Source organism: Homo sapiens, chromosome 2 (assembly GCF_000001405.40).
Source record: "Homo sapiens chromosome 2, GRCh38.p14 Primary Assembly".
Classification (NCBI taxonomy): Eukaryota; Metazoa; Chordata; class Mammalia; order Primates; family Hominidae; genus Homo; species Homo sapiens.
The window spans coordinates 34,730,675-34,750,481 of NC_000002.12; the positions used below are offsets into that span (position 1 = coordinate 34,730,675).

General features: G+C 35.8%; 2 long non-coding RNA genes across 5 annotated transcripts in view; one reads left to right on the plus strand and one right to left on the minus strand.

The window, feature by feature from the left end:
• Window positions 1-6,793, minus strand: part of LOC105374458 (uncharacterized) — a 33,938-nt gene extending 27,145 nt beyond the window's left edge. For 2 of the 3 annotated variants that reach the window (XR_002959378.2, XR_007086278.1), the window contains exons 1-2: window positions 6,407-6,793; window positions 4,301-4,433 (exon numbers count right to left, since the gene is read on the minus strand). This is a non-coding gene — a long non-coding RNA (uncharacterized LOC105374458). The remainder of the gene's footprint in view (window positions 1-4,300; window positions 4,434-6,406) is intronic. The other variant, XR_007086277.1, reaches the window with a different exon arrangement.
• LOC124907752 (uncharacterized) lies at window positions 1,055-7,557 on the plus strand. Of its 2 annotated transcripts, none has more exons than XR_007086279.1 (2): window positions 1,055-1,883; window positions 6,647-7,557. It is a non-coding gene; the product is annotated as an uncharacterized LOC124907752 (long non-coding RNA). The 2 variants fall into 2 exon arrangements; XR_007086280.1 differs by lacking the exon at window positions 1,055-1,883 and adding an exon at window positions 6,536-6,553.
• Window positions 7,558-19,807: the final 12,250 nt, after the last annotated feature.

A 19,807-nucleotide genomic window follows, 5' to 3' on the forward strand; every position in this document is an offset into this window, starting at 1 on the left:
CAAGAGTTTTTGAGAACTCATGATGGAAAGGAGAAAAAGGTGAAAAAGGATTTTAAGCCTTAGCTCGTTGATTTTAGATTTGAGATTTGTTAAACTTCTCACAGTGAGTAATAAAAAATTCCATAAAAAGAATATCTGTTGGCCAGGCGCGGTGGCTCACGCCTATAATCCCAGCACTTTGGGAGGCCGAGGCAGGCGGATCACAAGATCAGGAGATCGAGACCATCCTGGCTAACAGGGTGAAACCCGCCTCTACTAAAAATACAAAAAAAATTAGCCGGGCGTGGTGGCAGGCGCCTGTAGTCCCAGCTACTGGGAGGCTGAGGCAGGAGAATGGCGTGAACGTGGGAGGCAGAGCTTGCAGTGAGCCGAGATTGTGCCACTGCAATCCAGCCTGGGCGACGGAGTGAGAGTCTGTCTCAAACAAAAAAAAAAAAGGGAGAATATCTGTTGAAGAAAGTTATCAAAACATATGTGTATGCTTATGAGTGTGTTTCATTATATGTGCATGTATATATATGTATGTGTGAGCATACACACATATATTTCCCAAAAAGCTTATTTTCATGATTTCTCTGTATTGTCAGAATGTGCTAGGATAATACTGGCTGCTTTTACAGATAAAAGCAGAAAAGCTCTCACTCTTCATGACTTGCACTCTAACAAGTTCATTCCTCACTCAATGTATTAGACCCAAGTAGGTGTTCACAGTCAGTCCTGCAGGAAGAGATTAGAGGATCTAGTTACCCAGGGATCATCTCCATTCCTTCCAACTGAAAGGGAAACAAACAAGGAGGAGCACGCCTGGGGAGGTTTTCACAGGCCAGGACTGGAAATGCACATTTCTCTTTTCCTCACATTCCAGTAAGTAGATCTCCATTATATGGCTACGTGTAATACAGCCATGTGCCCAGGAAGAAGACAAGTCTGATTTTGAGAACAGATAGCAATTTGCCTCATTAGAATAGAACATGCTCATTGAACTTTTACTATGGGCAAGGCAGTGATCCAGAAAGTAGAACATACACATTTGAGTATCATTTTTTTTTTTTTGAGAAACCAAATATAGAATACTAATTGTATAGTTTTTTGATAACAATTAAGTTGTTCCATTTGGATTATAAAAATATATAATAGTACCTATTTGGGCTCATGTCATATGTTTTATTAACATGTACTTCCTGGTTTATATCAAATTACAGAATTTTAGAGTTTCAGAATAATTTGAATTTAGAAAGCTATTACTGTAATTATGTGGGGGCATTAATGGAGGCTTGTAATTGTAATGCTGAAAATATAAATTAATTGGCTTGTAAATGAGACAGGTATAGCAAGTAAATGAGGTCCTGAGGGTATATTTTTATTCAGCTACTGAGTTGCAGGATAAAGTCAAAATATTTACCGAGGTTAATGGAATAATTATATAGGATTTATCTATACTATTAAAATTACATTTAAAATATAGAGCTATATTGCTTACCTTAAATTATAAAATGAGCTTTCTCCAAATTCAAAATGCTTGTAATTCACAGTCATTTTTGGATTACTGTAAAAAGGTAACTAACTGCCTTTTTACAATTAGGAATTTATTTACAACTTTCTCTTCCAATCCATTTTCTAGTCTTTTATACAAAAGACTCATCTGCTTTCAAGGTTAGTTCATTTAAGTCATAAGGTAGAGAGAAGCAAGTACAGAATACAACACAGAACCACAGCCATAAGGTAGATTTCTCAAGTACTGTCCCTAATGTTACCGGGGGTCCTTGCTTCCAGAGCTCCCAAGATGGTGGTGGGCCACTTCCAAGATGGTGGCAAGAGTCGTATTCTCTGACCTGGGGTTCTTGGTCTCATGGATTCCAAGGAATGGAATCTTGCGCCATGTGGTGAGTGTTATAACTCTATTAGAAGTCGTGGGTCGCGGAAGGGAACCATGGACCCCAGTGACTAGTGTTCAACTCGATTAGGACGAACCCAGGCACTTAGGCCTGCAGGAACAATGGCAAGCCTTTAACTTGATGTGGAGCAGCAATGGGCGCCTCGCTGGATTAGGAGCACAGTGGGCACCCTGCTGGATCCAGAGGGATGGAAGTCAGCAGAGTGTCTGCCACGGCGTCAAAACAGCAGTGGTGCACTGCCAGCGAAAGCTCAGTTCGAGCTGTAACAAACACGTACCAGTAGAGTATTAAATCTTGCAGTTGCAAGATTTAATAGAGTGAAACAGGGTGAAAACAGAGCTCCCATACAAGGAGGGGACCCAAATGGGGTTGCCGTTGCTGGCTCGAATGCCTGGGTTTATATCCTGATCATTGTCCCTACCGCTGTGCTCTCAGGCAATAGATGATTGGCTATTTCTTTACCTCCTGTTTTTGCCTAATTAGCATTTGGTGAGCTCTCTGATTGGTCAGGTGTGAGCTCAGTTGCAAGCCCCGTGTTTAAAGGTTGATGCGATCACCTTCCCAGCTAGGCTTAGGGATTCTTAGTCGACCTAGGAAATCCAGCTAGTCCTGTCTCTCACTAACAGAGACTTAACATTAACGGTTGGGACTTCCTTGTTTCTCTCACTTTTTTCCTTTCCTTTCCTTTTTTTAAAAAAAATTTTCTTTCTCTTCTTTCCCTCCCTCCCTCCCTCCTTCCCTCCCTCCCTTCCTTCCTTCCTTTCGTTCCCCTTCTGTTTTTTCTTTGTTTTTTTTTCTTTTAATTCTATCAAGTCTTTAGATTGTTTTTCCAGTAGATCCTTAATTTATTTGTTGAAATGAAGAAAGTGGAAGTCAAGCATTTGCTTTCACCTAAGCTACACTCTCTGCTTCTAGGGAATAGTGCTGGAGATCATCACCTTTATATCTCCTTACATGGGGGCAGCTTTTCCAAGAGGAGTTAAGAAACTATTTCACAAAGCATATCAAATTAATCTTCTCAATATCCTTCCAGTTAGCTTATGCCTGGTCGCTTTTCCAAGAAAGCTTCGGATATAAATATCACTCATTTCTATTTGCCTAAACCTTGTGTTTTTTAATTGCCTTTTTGAACTTAAGTGGTTTAATAAATATTCTCCATTTTAAGAAACAATTTTATTCAAGCTCATTAAATATTCTGCATTTGCTTAAATAAAATATGTCACCTAAAAGTTGAAAGCATAGGAGCAAATATATAAATTATTACTTGTATGTTTATAATCCAAATAAAACATCTTCAACAAGAGGTATATAACAGGGTTTTTTAAACCTTGGCATTATTGCCTTTTGAACTAGATAATTCTTTGTTGTGGGGGACTGTCCTTATACTGTAGGATATTTAGCAAGATTCCTGGCTTCTATCCACTAGATGCTAACCAGTTGCAACAACCTAAAATGTCTCCAGATATTGTCAAATGTCCATGAGTGAGAGCACTGGAGGTGTAAAGTTGTATCAGTTGAGAACCACTGGGCATATATTGCAAATAGTCTTTTGTATGCTCTTAACTTTTGATAAAATATCACAGTCCTCCTTAGAGTAACTCACTATCCACAGGGCAAAACTGTTTACATGTAATGTAGCTGTTAATCAATATGGGCTTTAGGCAAGTCTATGCTGAATAAGACTCTGTGGGCTAATTCAATGGTTTTAGGTTTCATAATGACAGAGAAACTAACATGTTTTTGGTATGGTTGAGCCAATTTAGTTACTAAAGAGTCAACAAATTATCTTGATAGGACAAATTGGGTCAATAATTCTACAATAATTTTTTTAGTGTTTTGACATTAAATTCGGGGAGAATACACTAAATAAGAAAGAAGAGTCATATAGCTTAGTTAGAGTTTAATTTTAAGATTATTCTTTAGCTGTTTCATCTGTTTTATTCATTGTTGAAAAAGAAACAATTATCTGGTGAATTTCAATCCTGTAAAAATTCTTTGGGATGAATTTTGCCTAAAAAGGCATTACATATTTTCTATAGTTCTCAGGTTTCGGTTTGTGATGTTTTTGAGAAATACTTAAATTCTGAAACTCTTACAGCCCTCTTCTGACTAGCCTTGGGGCAACTTCAGTAGTAGGAACATTCTAGATGTAAATTAAAACATTTTAGCAAGGTAAAGCTATTCAAAATAATGACTCAGTTTGGCAGTCAGAAAGTAATTCTCCTGGAAGCATTCACACTGGGGTATTCACCAGCAAATGAGAAACACTTAACTAGAAGATTGAAAGGGAAGAATGAAATCATTGTTTCCAATTCTCAGCAGCTTTCACTTCTATTCTTCCTTAACTAGTCAGTTCACAAATTGTTGTGAGAGAATATAGTTTAGGTTAAATCTTCAAGTCTTACCTGTAGTGTTATTTAAGTGATCTTGGTATATGTAATAAACACACAATTGAGCAGCTAATTGTTGCAGCATAACTCCAATCCAATTGCACATTCACTTTCAGGTGCCACAGGGTCTTCTAAGCCCTGGTGAATGCTGTAAAGCAAATACATCTCATTTATCTCTTTGCATATTCCACAAATTTTACCATATAACCTATATGTAGGAACTCTCATTCCATACTTATCTTTAGTCTGTGTATAGAGACAGAATATTGACCGAGAATAGAAAAATAAGGCTGGTTAGATTACCTTTGTCAAGCTTATGCTACACCCTAATGGGGTTCAGGACACACTATCCCAAAATGTAGCTAGACAATGAGTTCTCTGAGAGCAGGATCCACCTATTTGGTTGTAATAGTTTTGTTTCTATAAATGTTGAATGAGTGGATCGATTTATCAAAATAGAGTTTATGAACATAAAAAATTGCCTTATGCAACCAAGTTTGATAATAACAACATGACCTTGATATTAAACTGAAAAAAGGCATCTTCCAGTCTCTACTATTACCACCTCTCCCCAACTATTATAGCCATTCAAATCTCTAACCAGGCTGAATATTAAATAAAATGGTTTACCATCTGATGTTAAGGTATAAAGATAAGATTTTTTTTTTTCTGAATTAAAAAAAATAGTCCAAAGAAGAAGGAAGAAGAAAGGGGATATAATGAGAATGTAAGTATCCAAGAAATATTGACTGTTTTGATTTATGTAATGAAATTAAAAAGTCGAAAGCCAGTTTTAAAGCATTTCAAAGTAATATCACAGAAATTAATTTGAAGGATACATTTAATGTTTTGAATCATAACCTGTCAAGCCTGGCATGCATTTTAACTGAGTTTTAAAAAAAAGCATTCTGACGCTATTGTATGGACATTAGAGTTTTAAATACAACAGAACTACCTAAGAAATAATGATACAATAGAAATCAGTTTCCTGGCTGTAATAAAGTATTTCAGTTGAAATCATGATAAATGTTAAAGGAAATATTTTGATTATTTAAATAACAAAATTGGCTGTTTGTAAAACCTGGTTAAACCTGATAACTTCTAGAACAATATTTCTGATTTTAACTCCATTCTGCTTTCCTTAATTTTGTACAGACACACACATGCACATAAGTTTATTAAATTTTCACAAACTGAACACCCCTGTGCAACCAATACCTGGATCTAAAAAGAGAACATTTTCAACCCACCAAAAGCCCTCATTATGCCTTTTTATCTGTACCTGCCCTCCAAAGTAATTACTAATTATTATGCACTTAAATGATAAGGGCTGTAGAGATATGGATGGGGCACCAAGAGCTTCTGCTACAGTTTACTCCTTGCCCTAACCAGATCCCCGCTTGTCTGGTATTAAGTTTAATCTATCACTGTTTCTTCATGTGGCAGTTGGTCAGTGTTTCACTGAAAAAAACACAATAGAAGAGGTGGGACTATAGTCAGCACTGCTTCATTGATTCTGAAGCTGAAATTTATATTTAGTATTTCTCCACCTCTTTCTCCAATTTTACATTCCCTTCATTCTCAACCAGCCCTCTCACTGTTATGGGTTGCCTATCCAGTAGATAAATATAGAATTTAATCATTCAGAAGTCTGTGCCACTGGATAGCATATCCTTATAAGGCCATCCTTGCTATAATTACCCATTAACAGATATCACTCAACATGGTAACTTAAGAAAGAAAGAATAGCATGCCCTTGTAAGGCCATGCTTTCTATAATTACCCATTAACAGATATCACTCAACATGGTAACTGTCAGGCCTCTGAGTCTAAGCTAAGCCATCGTATCCCCTGTGACATGCACGTATACATCCAGATGGCCTGAAGCAACTGAAGATCCACAAAAGAAGTGAAAATAGCCTTAACTGATGACATTCCACCATTGTGATTTGTTCCTGCCCCACCCTAACTGATACGATATATTCTCCCCTGCCCTTAAGAAGGTACTTTGTAATATTTTCCCCACCCTTGAGAATGTACTTTGTACGCCTATCCCAAATCTATAAGAACTAATGATAATCCCACCACCCTTTGCTGACTCCTTTTTTGGACTCAGCCCACCTGCGCCCAGGTGAAATAAACAGCCTTGTTGCTCACACAAAGCCTGTTTGGTGGACTCTCTTCACATGGACGCGCATGACAGTAACACCAGGAGATTCCCCAAGGACTATCTTAAAGTTTAGACATAATTCTTCTTAACCCCATCAGGTAGTAGCATTCCTAGCTCTTGATGATAATCAAGTTCTATTATTCTTGCTAATATAGTAACTTTGTTTGTTTTGCTTGCTGGTCTTTTGGCAGGAGAAGCGTCAGATAATTAGGCAGCAGTCCAACAATTAGGTTTTGTGGAACTTTTACTATGTCATCTATTTATTGGAATTCCCCCTGGATACCAGGACCCCCTCCAGCAGAGCTTAAAGTTATAGTTACAGGAAGTACAAATTCCTTATGTGGATCCCTGGAAGTGTGATGAGAAGAACCACTGTTTCCAAGATCTATTTATTCTATTTATCAGGCCTATAAAATCATGTAATGGCCATGGCTTCAACTAGACTCCACATCTTGAATCACAGAACTCAACGAATGGCATCAACTACAAGCTGGTATTCTGCTATACATTTAAGAGGCCATTTTAATATTCTATTAGTCTAGCAGCTTCTAAGTGATGAGGGATATGGGGGGACTGGAGGATCCCGTGCTCACTTCCTTTTCTGTAAAAGGAGCTCTTTGATCCAAGGTGACATGGTATGGGATCCAATGACAATAAATCAGTTATTCTGTGAACCCTGATCAAAACTTGACTAAACTTTTGACAGTTAGGTTTTTTCCTGACCACAGACTCCTCACCTTTCTTTTCTTAGAAAATTTACATTGGAAAACAGATGTAAATTTTCTCCAGCCTCTTGCAAGGTTTACAGTCCAGGACTTTGAGGTCCTGGGAGTCATCCTTTTGAAATACAATCATCAAAGAAGATAGTGCTCCAATCTCCTAGTCTCTGTGGGAGGGTTGGAACCTAACTTCAGTAAACTAATCACCAATTAGCAAACACAGAGGGGCTGATCATACTGACCCACTTTCCCACTAAAATGTCTAGTACTTTCCACCAGCTCACCACAGTGCTTAAAAACTCTCCTGTCTTTTGTTTTACTAGAGTTGAGTCCAATCTCTTTCATCTATTGCAATAGTGTTGAATAAAGTCTTCCTTGCCTAACTTGTCATGTGTATTTTTTCTCTGACTGCCTTCAGAGAGTGTTATTGTCCAAGACACTGAAAAATAGAAACACAACCTTCATCTAGAAAATGCAAGAATCTCAGTAAAGATGAATCATTGTTCTGCCACCATGGAAGGCAGCTAGTTGTAGTCAATTAGCCAAAAAGTACCTGGTTGGTTTCCTTGAGGGGATGGCATGCGTATTAATCTGGATCCAGTCAGGACATAGAAATCATAGCAACAATTTAAACAAGAAAAATTAATGTAAGGTATTATTAACTACTAACAGGAGTGAAAGAGTGTTGTACATGTAAGACTGAGAGAGCAAGAACAAGGAAGGAATAAGAACTTAGAAGAGACACCATCCCCCAGCCTGAGAATCAGATCTTATTAGAAAGAGTGTTGCTACCCCAAAAATATGCAAAAGATCAGTGGGGAAGAAGTTTGCTGGAACATGTGGGCTTGGATTGTTGGGTAGAAAAGTCGTGTGGGGTGGTCAAAAAATTACTACAGAGTGTTTGCCACTAGGTCTCTGGCACACTAATTTCCTAGTAGCTACATCACAGGAAAACAAAAGTACACCAGTACCAAGGAGAGAAGCCCCTTCCTCTTACTATAACCTTTCAATGTCCTTCCATTGCCCCCTGTTGACAAAGCTTAACATTGCACCAGCTGGCAAAGGAGAAATGTTCACGGGATTAAGGGCCAGTATCACAGATCAGGTCAAAGAAAGGTGAACTAGGAGTTTACAGACAATAAATTAATAACCAGTGTCATATCAAGGGGTCAGTGTTGGTCTAAATTTCTGACTGGTCACACATTCAGTAGCAGCACTGGCCGCTTAGTGAGAAGGAGCCCATAGTGAAGGTCCCACTTGTGGCCTGACTTTCTCCAATGCTGGCAACTACAATTGTGGGATTATATGCAAGCACTGGAGTGGCTGAAGTCAAAGGGTGGCTAGCCACTGTTAGATGAGTCTTTCTAACCTAGTTGTCTGTGCTTTCTCTGTGATGAATGTTGGTGGGCACCGCCATGAGACACAAAAATCCTCACATTTTATTTACTTTCTCATAGTAAAATCTGCATACTTTTCTTCAAATGTCTGCTCTTCCAGTCTTACTCTGTACTGTTTTTTTTTTTCTTTTTGACTGAGTCTCATTCTCTCATAAGGCTGGAGTGCAGTGGTGCAATCTCAGTTCACAGCAACCTCTGCCTCCTGGGTTCAAGTGATTCTCCTACCTCAGCCTCCCAAGTAGCTGGGACTACGGGCATGTGCCACCACGCCCAGCTAATTTTTTTGTATTTTTAGTAGAGACGGGGTTTCACCATGTTGGCCAGGATGGTCCCGATCTCCTGACCTTGTGATCTGTCCACCTCGGCCTCCCAAAGTGCTGGGATTACAGGCATGAGCCACCGCACCCAGCTGGTTCTTGACGAAGAAACTAGGTCTTTCATCTCTGCCCCAAAATTTATTAATACCCTCAGTGCAAGCGTCTTCTTCTACGTCAAAGTGATAACCTAAAGCTTTGTTCAAAATTCTGTCCATTAGTAAGATTTTCCCTCAATGCTGTTTTCTGAAGCCATTTCTATTTTTGGCTGGTATCAATACATTGGTTTATAGTAACTAGCCTCTTCATAAATCTGGGCCAGATTTACGTCCACAGGCTGGACATAAGGAATTCCATATGAAGTCATAGCTGTGAGCTGAGGATGAGATACTGGAACAACAGAATTTGGTACTTGGAGTCTTGGTCACCTCTTTTTGTAACTTACTTGTCATCTCTGAATTCATGTCTCTGAATTCTGATTAGGCTGTAGGCCTAATTTTTGTCATTGCTATCATATGGTGGATTTATATTGTGCCTATACAACTTCATTATTTGATAGGTTGATAATTCCCAATTTATAATTAGTAGCACCAATAATATCCTTAATAGTCACTTGATATACTGGCACTGGACACTTAGTCCCTTTGAGGTTAAGCTATAAGTTAATAACCAAATACTTATCAGTCAACTTTTTTTTAAACTGTGATTATGAAGATAAGCTCCATAAAGAGAAAAGCTAAGTCTGTCTCATATACTAAGCCTAGTCATCATGAATATTAAAGTTAGGCACATAGTAGGTGTTCAGTAAATATTTGTTGAGTAAATACATCCTAGAGTAACTTCATGGAATTATTTGATGATGAGAGATTTAAATCAGTGCCATAAGTCAGCCGATAACAGGTAATACTTTTTCAATTAGACAATATAAGCATAGCTCAGAATTCAGGTTGTCCTATTTTGCAGCAGCATCAGGAGAAGAGGAGGAACAAGGAAATGAGGAAGAAGAGGAAAAGGAGGAAGAGGAAAAGGAGAAGATAGTATTTTTCGTATCTAAAACTAAGATTTCAACATGCCGTATTCACAGTGTTCAAAGGGTGATACCAGTCAGTGTGGGAGAAGGAGGAGTGTGCTTATTATTTTATCTAGATGTCACTGCTATTTTTTATGAATCAACTTGCTACTTTATTAGAATATGAAATATTTCTTTTGTCTTAAATTTATATATGCTGGTGCAAAACTTCTTGAGAATTATAAAATGGCTATGACCAACTGTAGAGTCATTTTCAGAATCTATAGCTTGCGATTCCAGAAATGAAATGCTATTAAACATTAGCAATTAAAGATGCAGTTGTCGTTACTGACCTAAATTCACCAGTTGTAGTGATACTAACATAAAGATTTACAACATTTTTATGAAACATTAATAATCTGTGACTATGTCAAGGTGGGGCTGGGAGATAAAAGGCAAATACCCTTTCCATTTCACTTATGAAGCTGCTTTACAAGGTTTCAATTAGATCTTTCTTTTTACCCCTGAGAGAAACTAACAAATCTATTGCATTAATTATGGTTTCAAGACAGGATCATGACAGCCAAAATTATAAAATTACAGTCATTGCAGTTGTGTAGGCTCTACTTCTCTCATTCTGTGTGCCTGTAGAGTTGGAATGTAACTTTACAACTGATATCTTAAGAGGCAGTGCAAATGCAGAACAAATATGCTGTGCAGAGCGAGAGAAAGAGAAGTGATAAAGCCAAAGAACATTGTCTGATTAATCAAACAAATCATTGAATGTGGCTTATAATATTTAAAATGCAAGACTTTAATCCATCGATTACCATTTGAAGTATATTCATGTTTTTAAAGAACAGAACACGATTATATTTCAATATATAATTTCTGTACAGCCAAAAAATAAAACACCACAGTAAAATAATGGGAGAAACATAATATTTAAAATGCTTGACAAAATGTTAACATCCTTAATCATAAATGAGCTCTTAGTAACAAAGAGATTAACTTTACAAGGGAAATGAAAAAGAAAAAGAGGAAAATGAAATAGCACAAATGACTTATAAGGTTATGTAAAGATGATATAGCCTAATGTTAATAGATAAAAGGCAATTTCATTATAAATTATATTATCAATGCTTACAAATATTGATACCTAATGTTTGTATGGCTGTAGGAAATGAGGAATTCTCAAATACTGGGAAAATTTACTCCTGTCATGAGAAATTTAGTCAAAATATAGATTTTGCATATTCTTTGCCCTGGCAGTTTCAATCCATAGGAATCATTCCAACAAAGTAGTTGGATGAATTTATATATATATATATATATATATAATATATATATTTTTATATAATATAATATATATTATATAAAAATATTTTTATATAATATAAAATTATATTTTATATAATATAAAATTATATATATATATACACATGAATGTTTACTACATAGAAAATGTGTAAGTGATATATCATCTGCCGAGTAACCACTTAAGTATCAACTGGTTTATAAAATAAGAGATTGGGAGGTGGAATTAGAAAGAAAAAAGGCACTTAAGTAAAAATACTAGATTTCACAACATTCTATGTCCTTTGAATTCTTAAAAAAGATCATGTTTTAATGAATCAGTTTTATGTTTACCCTGCGATAAGTAAAAATTATAAATATATGCATTTTATACTTAGGAAAGCACTGAGATGAAACCCTTTTAATTCCACCATCCTGTCTCCTTTGTTCAATAATGTATATTCATGCTTCTATCAAATTCAGTTTTAGTTTTTCATGTGTATGCATATATGCTTGTATACACACATGCATACATAGAGTGGGAAAGAGCTATCTCTGAATATATATTGTTGTATTTGTGTGTGTTTATATGTGTGTTTGCATATGAATGTTTGTATGTGTGTGTGCATGTAGGTGTAGCTAGAAAGAAAGAAATGGGAACTTTTAACTATGAGTCCACAGAACTGTCCCAAATCACAATACAGCTATTTGAAAATAGAAAGGATTGGCATGGTCATTTATTATTTCCCTTAACATTTTTTTAATCTAAAAACTAATTGAATGCCTCTTCTGAAAAATATATTATGCCAATAATATACCTTATGACTAAGGCAGTCAGCAGGGTAAATTTCCAGATTATTATTTAAAAAGCTATTGTCTGTAGAAAAGAAAAGCCATGCATAAAAATCTTATCTCTTTTGATATGGGTAGTATGTTAAAGAACACTGTCACAGCATTTCCTAAATCTAGAAAATAAAATTTGTTGGAAATATCCGTATTTTAGGATATTGTCTAAAAACATGATTAAAGTTTTAAAATGGAATGTATCAAGTGATCCAGAGCCACTTAGGTAACTAGCTAATGCCATAGATGAAAAGCACTTGCAGGCAGAGATAACTAGTTGTGAGCTGATTTTATATATTCAAAAGGAATGATTTTATTTTTGATGAAATAAAATTTAAAAAATAATGTGCAATCAATTAAAAATCATAATATGCAGGAGACAGACTTAGTAGTATTACATTTAATAATCAAGGCAATGCTTTCTGAAATACCTAACTTGTAGAATAAATCATATTTATAGCATGAATAAATTAGGAAATAGGTGACTGAAAGAGTAGGTTAATTAAAATTAGTGCATTTTCTGAACTGGAAAAGGAAATACCGTGGTGAGCTAGTCTATCAGAGTCTGGCAGTGATTTCAGCCAAAGTAATCAAAGCAGATGGGCATTCAGAAATGACCCCAAAAGACTTTATTTTTATGGTCATATACTGAGTCACAGAGCTTACCATATTATCTTTATTCAAAACATTATTATCACATGAATATTTGTGCAGACTAAATATAATTGCATAACTTCTTGAGAATTAGGCAAGTTATCTATTATACCTTTCTTTCAACTCATTTGCCTCACTTATGAAATAAAGATAATAATAATACTCATCTCCTATGATTTTTTTAAAGATTGAATCAAATAATATATAAGATAGAACATTGGCACAGACTAAAGCTTTCAATAAATGAAAACTAGTACGTTTTAAAATATTAGCTGTGCTTTGACGTTTTTGGTATAGCCCCCATTAAAGACGTTTACAATTTACAATTATGTAAATTTTTGTTTCATTTTATGGTGTTTGGGTTTATAACAGCTTTGCAAGCAGTTAAATAGATTACAACTAAGTAGACTATGCTAATCTAATCAAAGAGGCGACCGAATTAGGCTTCTGTTTTTGTTTTTCTTTAGCAGTTTTATCTATATGAAAATTATCCTCTTCAAGATCTTTCAGGAAAGCTTTTCCACTGTTGGAGCACTTTTAATAAATAGGGTTTTGGTTAAGGGAAGAAAATTAACAAGAGACCTCAAAGAAAATTCACTTCATAAAGGATATAGACTTTTAGATGACATAGCACCTTACAGCGAGTTTGGAGATGGAGAAGAGTCAGCTGGGAAATAAAAAGTCAGCTGGGGAAAAAAAAAAAAGAGTCAGCTGGGAAAAAAAATAAAATAAGATTCAGGGGCTAAAAATGAAATCTGTAATTGGAAAAGGTCTACAAGATCATTATGTCTTTTGAATTGCAAACACCAGGTATTATAACTTATGAGAAAGATGTTTTGGAGTATGCAGACAACAGGTGATCTAATGCTTCTATTTGTTCCTATACGATCAGAGGTCCTAGTTCACATTGCTTATTAATCAGAAAGAAGGTTTTCAATTTATTGGCCTTACTCCTGACCTTTCATTCCGTTGAAACTAAAGAATCCCACATGTTGGTATTGCAAAATGAGACAACTTCATTTACAGTTAGATCTGATTTTATATAGCATATTATATATAGCATATTGTGTTTTAATTTTGTTTTTAGTAGGGGGAGTGGGAGAAGGATGCTGTAACATTCACAAAGATCAAGAATACATGTTATAGACAAACAGGTTTAATTCCTACAAGTGACATATGCTATGTGACTCTGGGCACACATTCTTTAATGTTAAGGCCTGTTCCTTATTTGTTATTTAATCAATAGCACCCACCACAGAGTGTGTATGAAACAATCACACAAGAAATGCATATTGAAAAAGCAAATGGTATTTTTTAACTTCATGTTCTCTTTCCTATTTAAAATGGGAATAAAAATTCTTTATAAATTCGTGGGAATTAAATAACGTCCACTAAACACTGGATAGAGAAAGTACCTGATGTATAGTAAGTCCTCAATCAATAGTAGCTTTTATTATTTGTATTAAAAATATTCAACTGCATGACAAGATTTTTTTTGGACAGAGAGAACTATTACTGCTTTAAACATCAGGCCTGTCAGGAATTTATATCATTTACTATTATTTTATTTATATACAAATTTGTCAATTATTTTGATACACATTAGAAAATAAATTTTTTTATCACTGGATAATTATGACAGAGTTTTAGGTTAGCATTTTTATAGTTCGGTTGGATTTGGAACAGATTTGATACAGATAAATCTTGAAAACCTAAATTAAGTGAGAAAGAAGTTTAATCCCAGGAAACATTTTTGTCCCTTTTTTTACTTTTCCTTCCTTAAATACAGTGGGAATTTAGATGGAAGTGCCAAATGCAGTTCCCTATATGGGGATAAAATTGCCTGGTAAGAAGTTGTTTTTCTTCCTACCAATCGTTTGTTTCCTGGATTTTAATCTATGAAAGTCATCCCAACTGTCCCTTCTTATTATTATCATACTTTTTTAATCAAAGTACTCACTAGATTTGATACACTTTAATTTCAAACCTTAATCAAGCATTGGGTTCATTTCTATGCCATCCTTTTGATTGTCAACATGGCTTCTAAGTGTCATTGAGAACTGTATTGGGAAAAGCCAGCCATTTCTGAAGTCTCCTTATAAGAATTTTCTTTATCTGTTTATTATATAAAGTGCAATTTGTAACTAAGCTGTCCTGTATTTCTTTTGCTGACAGCACTTGCAGCCAGCGAAACAGTTCAGGTCCATGACTTCATCCGATACCCACTGATTACCCAGTACAGGATGATGATTTTTAACTCCAAATCAGCACTAGCTCCCTGATGACTCTAATTCCAGTAATAGCAATATTGCTTCAACAAAAAGAGAAGGACCATCTGAGACCTTCTACATTTATTCTTATACATTAGCTTATCCTGAAGTGTTCAAAAACCTTTGGTGGAGGAGATAGTGGAGGAAAGGGATAATATTTTATTTTTATTAAACTAAAGGTATATTCAGAGGCACTCCTGTTGGCTTAATGGAAAAGGATATGACTCATTAGTAGCTTTTTTTATTGGTAATTTTGGGTACTAGCAGAGGAACAGTATCACTTCTATTCTCTAAGAGCCGAAGTTGATCTATGCTCCTTTTGCCAAGAGAACTGCTCCCAGGGAGGAAAGTCTTTTCTACCATGCCTGTTGGCATTATTGCTCTGTCAATACAGACCTACTTTCTCCACATAGCCTCTAATAGCCCCGAACTTACAGATCTGATAGCCAGGTTCTATCACCTGAGACAACTTTGGATCTTTTGAACTTCTGAGTCCACAATCCTAAAGAAAAAACTATTATTCTAGGGAAAAATTAGGTCTAGTCCCTTGGGTCTATCAATTTTAGCTAAAGTAATATGATTATATAAAATCATAATATCTCCAATAGGAACCAGATGAATATAAGGGGGAGAGGAGAAGTCTTTTGGCAGTTTGTCATGTTTTCTACAGTGTCTCACTTCCACACCCTCTTCCCAATTAGAATTATCCATTTCTGCACAGAATGGTAAAATAATCTATTTTGGGCTACCAGAAAACTATCACCAAACCTCAGCTTGACCTTGTTTGTTAATGTCTCGTTATTGAGTCTAGAAAGTGGTGGTATCTGAGTCCTTAATCATTCAAATTTCTCTGCTGTGTATTAAATTGCAGAACTTACAAAACATGTCAACTAGTTTTCAAATCCTGATCCAATGAATTTCTGGTATTGATTCTAGGTTTAAAATTGCACCGTTTCTCTAGATCCCATTTTACAGTTGATCTTTAAGTGACAATTTGATATATAGTAGCTTTTCATATAATCTATGTTCATATTACTTCCTAGTCTTTTGTAACGGTGGTAGGAGAAATCATTGTCAACCATTTCAATGAACTACAAAGAAATAGATGTACAGAAAAAGTTAAGGAAAAAATATACCAGAAATCTTCCATTAAAAAACAGGCAGATGAATCTGTACAAGATTGTAGTACAAAACTAGCATGAACATTGGGAATCCTAAATCAAAAGCTCTTCACTTAGTTTAAGTTCTTGGGACTTACCACTAATGAGACTTGAAATTCCTTCAAAATTTAGTATAGAATAAAAATCAGATTTCCAGGAAGACTTGTCAAAAATATCTAAGCAATTGAATCAGAAACCTATTGGATTATTTTCTCTTAAGTAGAATACATCATTTTCTTTCCATAAATAGACAACATAAACACCACCTGTTAACAATGATTCAATTAATTCAATCAATAGAGTCAGTCTTGCTTTGAGGATCAAAACTAAGCCAAAACCAAACAAAGCTCAAAACAATGTTTTCCCCACAATAATAGAATATTTGTACCTTAGCTTGTTATAAACATACTAAAAGTAATATGCCATATTAATTAGTCTATGATGTCACAATTGTTGATGACTCATTACTTTTTAATTTTTTTTTTACTTTGGCCTCATCTTTATTCTTACAAGTCTAAAACTCAAAATTAATAAGATAGTGGTAAATCAATGATAAAAAGACCAAAATTATAATTGTTTCTTACATCATATACAAAAATCAACTCAAGATGGATTTAAGACCTAAATGTAAAGCCTAAACTATAAAAACCCTGGATGATAACCTAGGACATTCTGGACATAAGACCTGGCAAACATTTCATGATGAAAATGCCAAAAGCAACTGCAACAAAAACAAAAAAAATTGACAAATGGGACCTAATTAAAGAGCTTCTGCACCATAAAAGTAACTATTAAGAGAGTAAACAGACAACCTACAGAATGGGAAAAAATATTTTCAAGCTATGCATCTAACAAACGTCTAATATACAGGATCTATAAGGAACTTAAATCTACAAGCGAAAACAACCCCCTTAAAAAGTGACCAAGCACATGAACAGACACTTTTCAAAAGAAGACATAGAAGTGGCCAACAAGCATATGAAAAGCTCAACATCACCAATCGTTAGAGAAATGCAAATCAAAACCACAAGGAGATACCATCTCACACTAGTCACAATGGCTATTACTAAAATGTAAAAAATTAACAGATGCTGGAGAGGTTGTGCAAAAAAGGGAATGCTTATACACTGCTGATTGAAATGTAAATTAGTTCAGTCACTTTGGAAAGCAGTTTAAGGATTTCTCAAAAAACTAAAACAGAATTACCATATGACCCAGCAATCCCATTATAGAGAAATATAAATTATTCTACCGTAAAGTCACATATATGTGTACATTCATCACAGCACTGTTCACAATAACAAAATCACGGAATTAACCTAAATGCCTATCAATAGTACAATGGACAAATAAAATAATGTGGTACATATATACCATGGAATACTATGCAGCCATAAAAAATGAGATCATGTCCTTTGTGGGAACATGGATGAAGCTGGAGGCTGTTATTGTACACCAACTAATACAGGGACAGAAACACAAATACTGTATGTTCTTACTTGTAAGTGGGAGCTAAACAATGAGTACATATGAACACAAGGGAACAACACACATCAAGGCCTACTTGAGGGTGAAGGGTGGGATGAGGGTGATGATCAAAAACTATGTATCAGGTACTGATTACCGGGGTGACAAATGATCCCTACACAAAACTGCTGCAACATGCAATTTACCTATATAAGGACATGCACATGTACCCCTGAACCTAAAATAATAGTAAAGAAAAAGAAAATAGTTACAATAAGTTCCATAATATTAATGAGTTAGTTAAGTGGATGCTTTACCTATTGGTTCCATCATGTGTGCTTGTTTAATTATTTTTTTGTATGACAGTTTATTAGAAGCATGATTAATTTTTGAATAAAAAACTCCCTGAAGCTTTCTAGAGAAAAGAATAATATTTTACTGTTTTAAGCAGTATTTAATCTAAACAAACTTTTTATTTATTTAGACACAGGGTCTTGCTGTCATCCAGGCTGGAATGCAGTGGTGTGATCATTGCTCACTGCAGCCTCAAATTCCTAGGCTCAAGCAATCTTCCCACTTCAGCTTCCCAAGTAGCTGGGACCAAAGGAGTGCACCACCACATCTGGCTAATTTATTATTATTATTACTATTATTTGTAGATTCAGAGTCTTGCTATGCTGCCCAGGCTGGTAACTCCTGGCCTCCAATTATCCTTCTGCCTTGGCCTTGCGAAATGCTGCTATTACAGGAATGAGCCACCACATCCAGCCTAAACAAACATACAAAAACAATACTTACAGATTCAATAGATGAGATTGATTATCTCAAAAGTTCCACCGTGGCAAAAGCCCCATGGGGACTGGAATTTCAGTCTATTGGTTTCTATGTTGTATGCCTATTGTCCCAAAGAGAAACTTGGGGCATCATTTCTTATCTCTCATTTTAAAAAGAGGATGCTGCCCAGGCTGGTAACTCCTGGCCTCAAATTATCCTTCTGCCTTGGCCTCGCAAAATGCTGCTATTACAGGAATAAGCCACCACATCCTTGACAGACCTGACAAAAAGAAGAAATGGGGAAAGGATTCCCTATTTAATAAATGGTGCTGGGAAAACTGGCTAGCCATATGTAGAAAGCTGAAACTGGATCCCTTCCTTACACCTTATACAAAAATTAATTCAAGATGGATTAAAGACTTACATGTTAGACCTAAAACCATAAAAACCCTAGAAGAAAACCTAGGCAATACCATTCAGGACATAGGCATGGGCAAGGACTTCATGTCTAAAACACCAAAAGCAATGGCAACAAAAGACAAAATTGACAAATGGGATCTAATTAAACTAAAGAGCTTCTGCACAGCAAAAGAAACCACCATCAGAGTGAACAGGCAACCTACAGAATGGGAGAAAATTTTTGCATCTACTCAGCCTGACAAAGGGCTAATATCCAGAATCTACAATGAACTCAAACAAATTTACAAGAAAAAAACAAACAACCCCATCAAAAAGTGGGCAAAGGATATGAACAGACACTTCTCAAAAGAAGACATTTATACAGCCAAAAAACACATGAAAAAATGCTCATCATCACTGGCCATCAGAGAAATGCAAATCAAAACCACAATGAGATACCATCTCACACCAGTTAGAATGGTGATCATTAAAAAGTCAGGAAACAACAGGTGCTGGAGAGGATGTGGAGAAATATGAAACTTTTACACTGTTGGTGGGACTGTAAACTAGTTCAATCATTGTGGAAGTCAGTGTGGCGATTTCTTAGGGATCTAGAACTAGAAATACCATTTGACCCAGCCATCCCATTACTGGGTATATACCCAAAGGACTATAAATCATGCTGCTATAAAGACACATGCACACGTATGTTTATTGCAGCACTATTCACAATAGCAAAGACTTGGAACCAACCCAAATGTCCAACAATGATAGACTGGATTAAGAAAATGTGGCACATTTACACCATGGAATACTATGCAGCCATAAAAAATGATGAGTTCATGTCCTTTGTAGGGACATGGATGAAGCTGGAAACCATCATTCTCAGCAAACTATCTCAAGGACAAAAAACCAAACACCGCATGTTCTCACTCATGGGTGGGAATTGAACAATGACAACACATGGACACAGGAAGGGGAATATCACACACCAGGGACTGTTGTGGGGTGGGGGGAGGGGGGAGGGATAGCATTAGGAGATAAACCTAA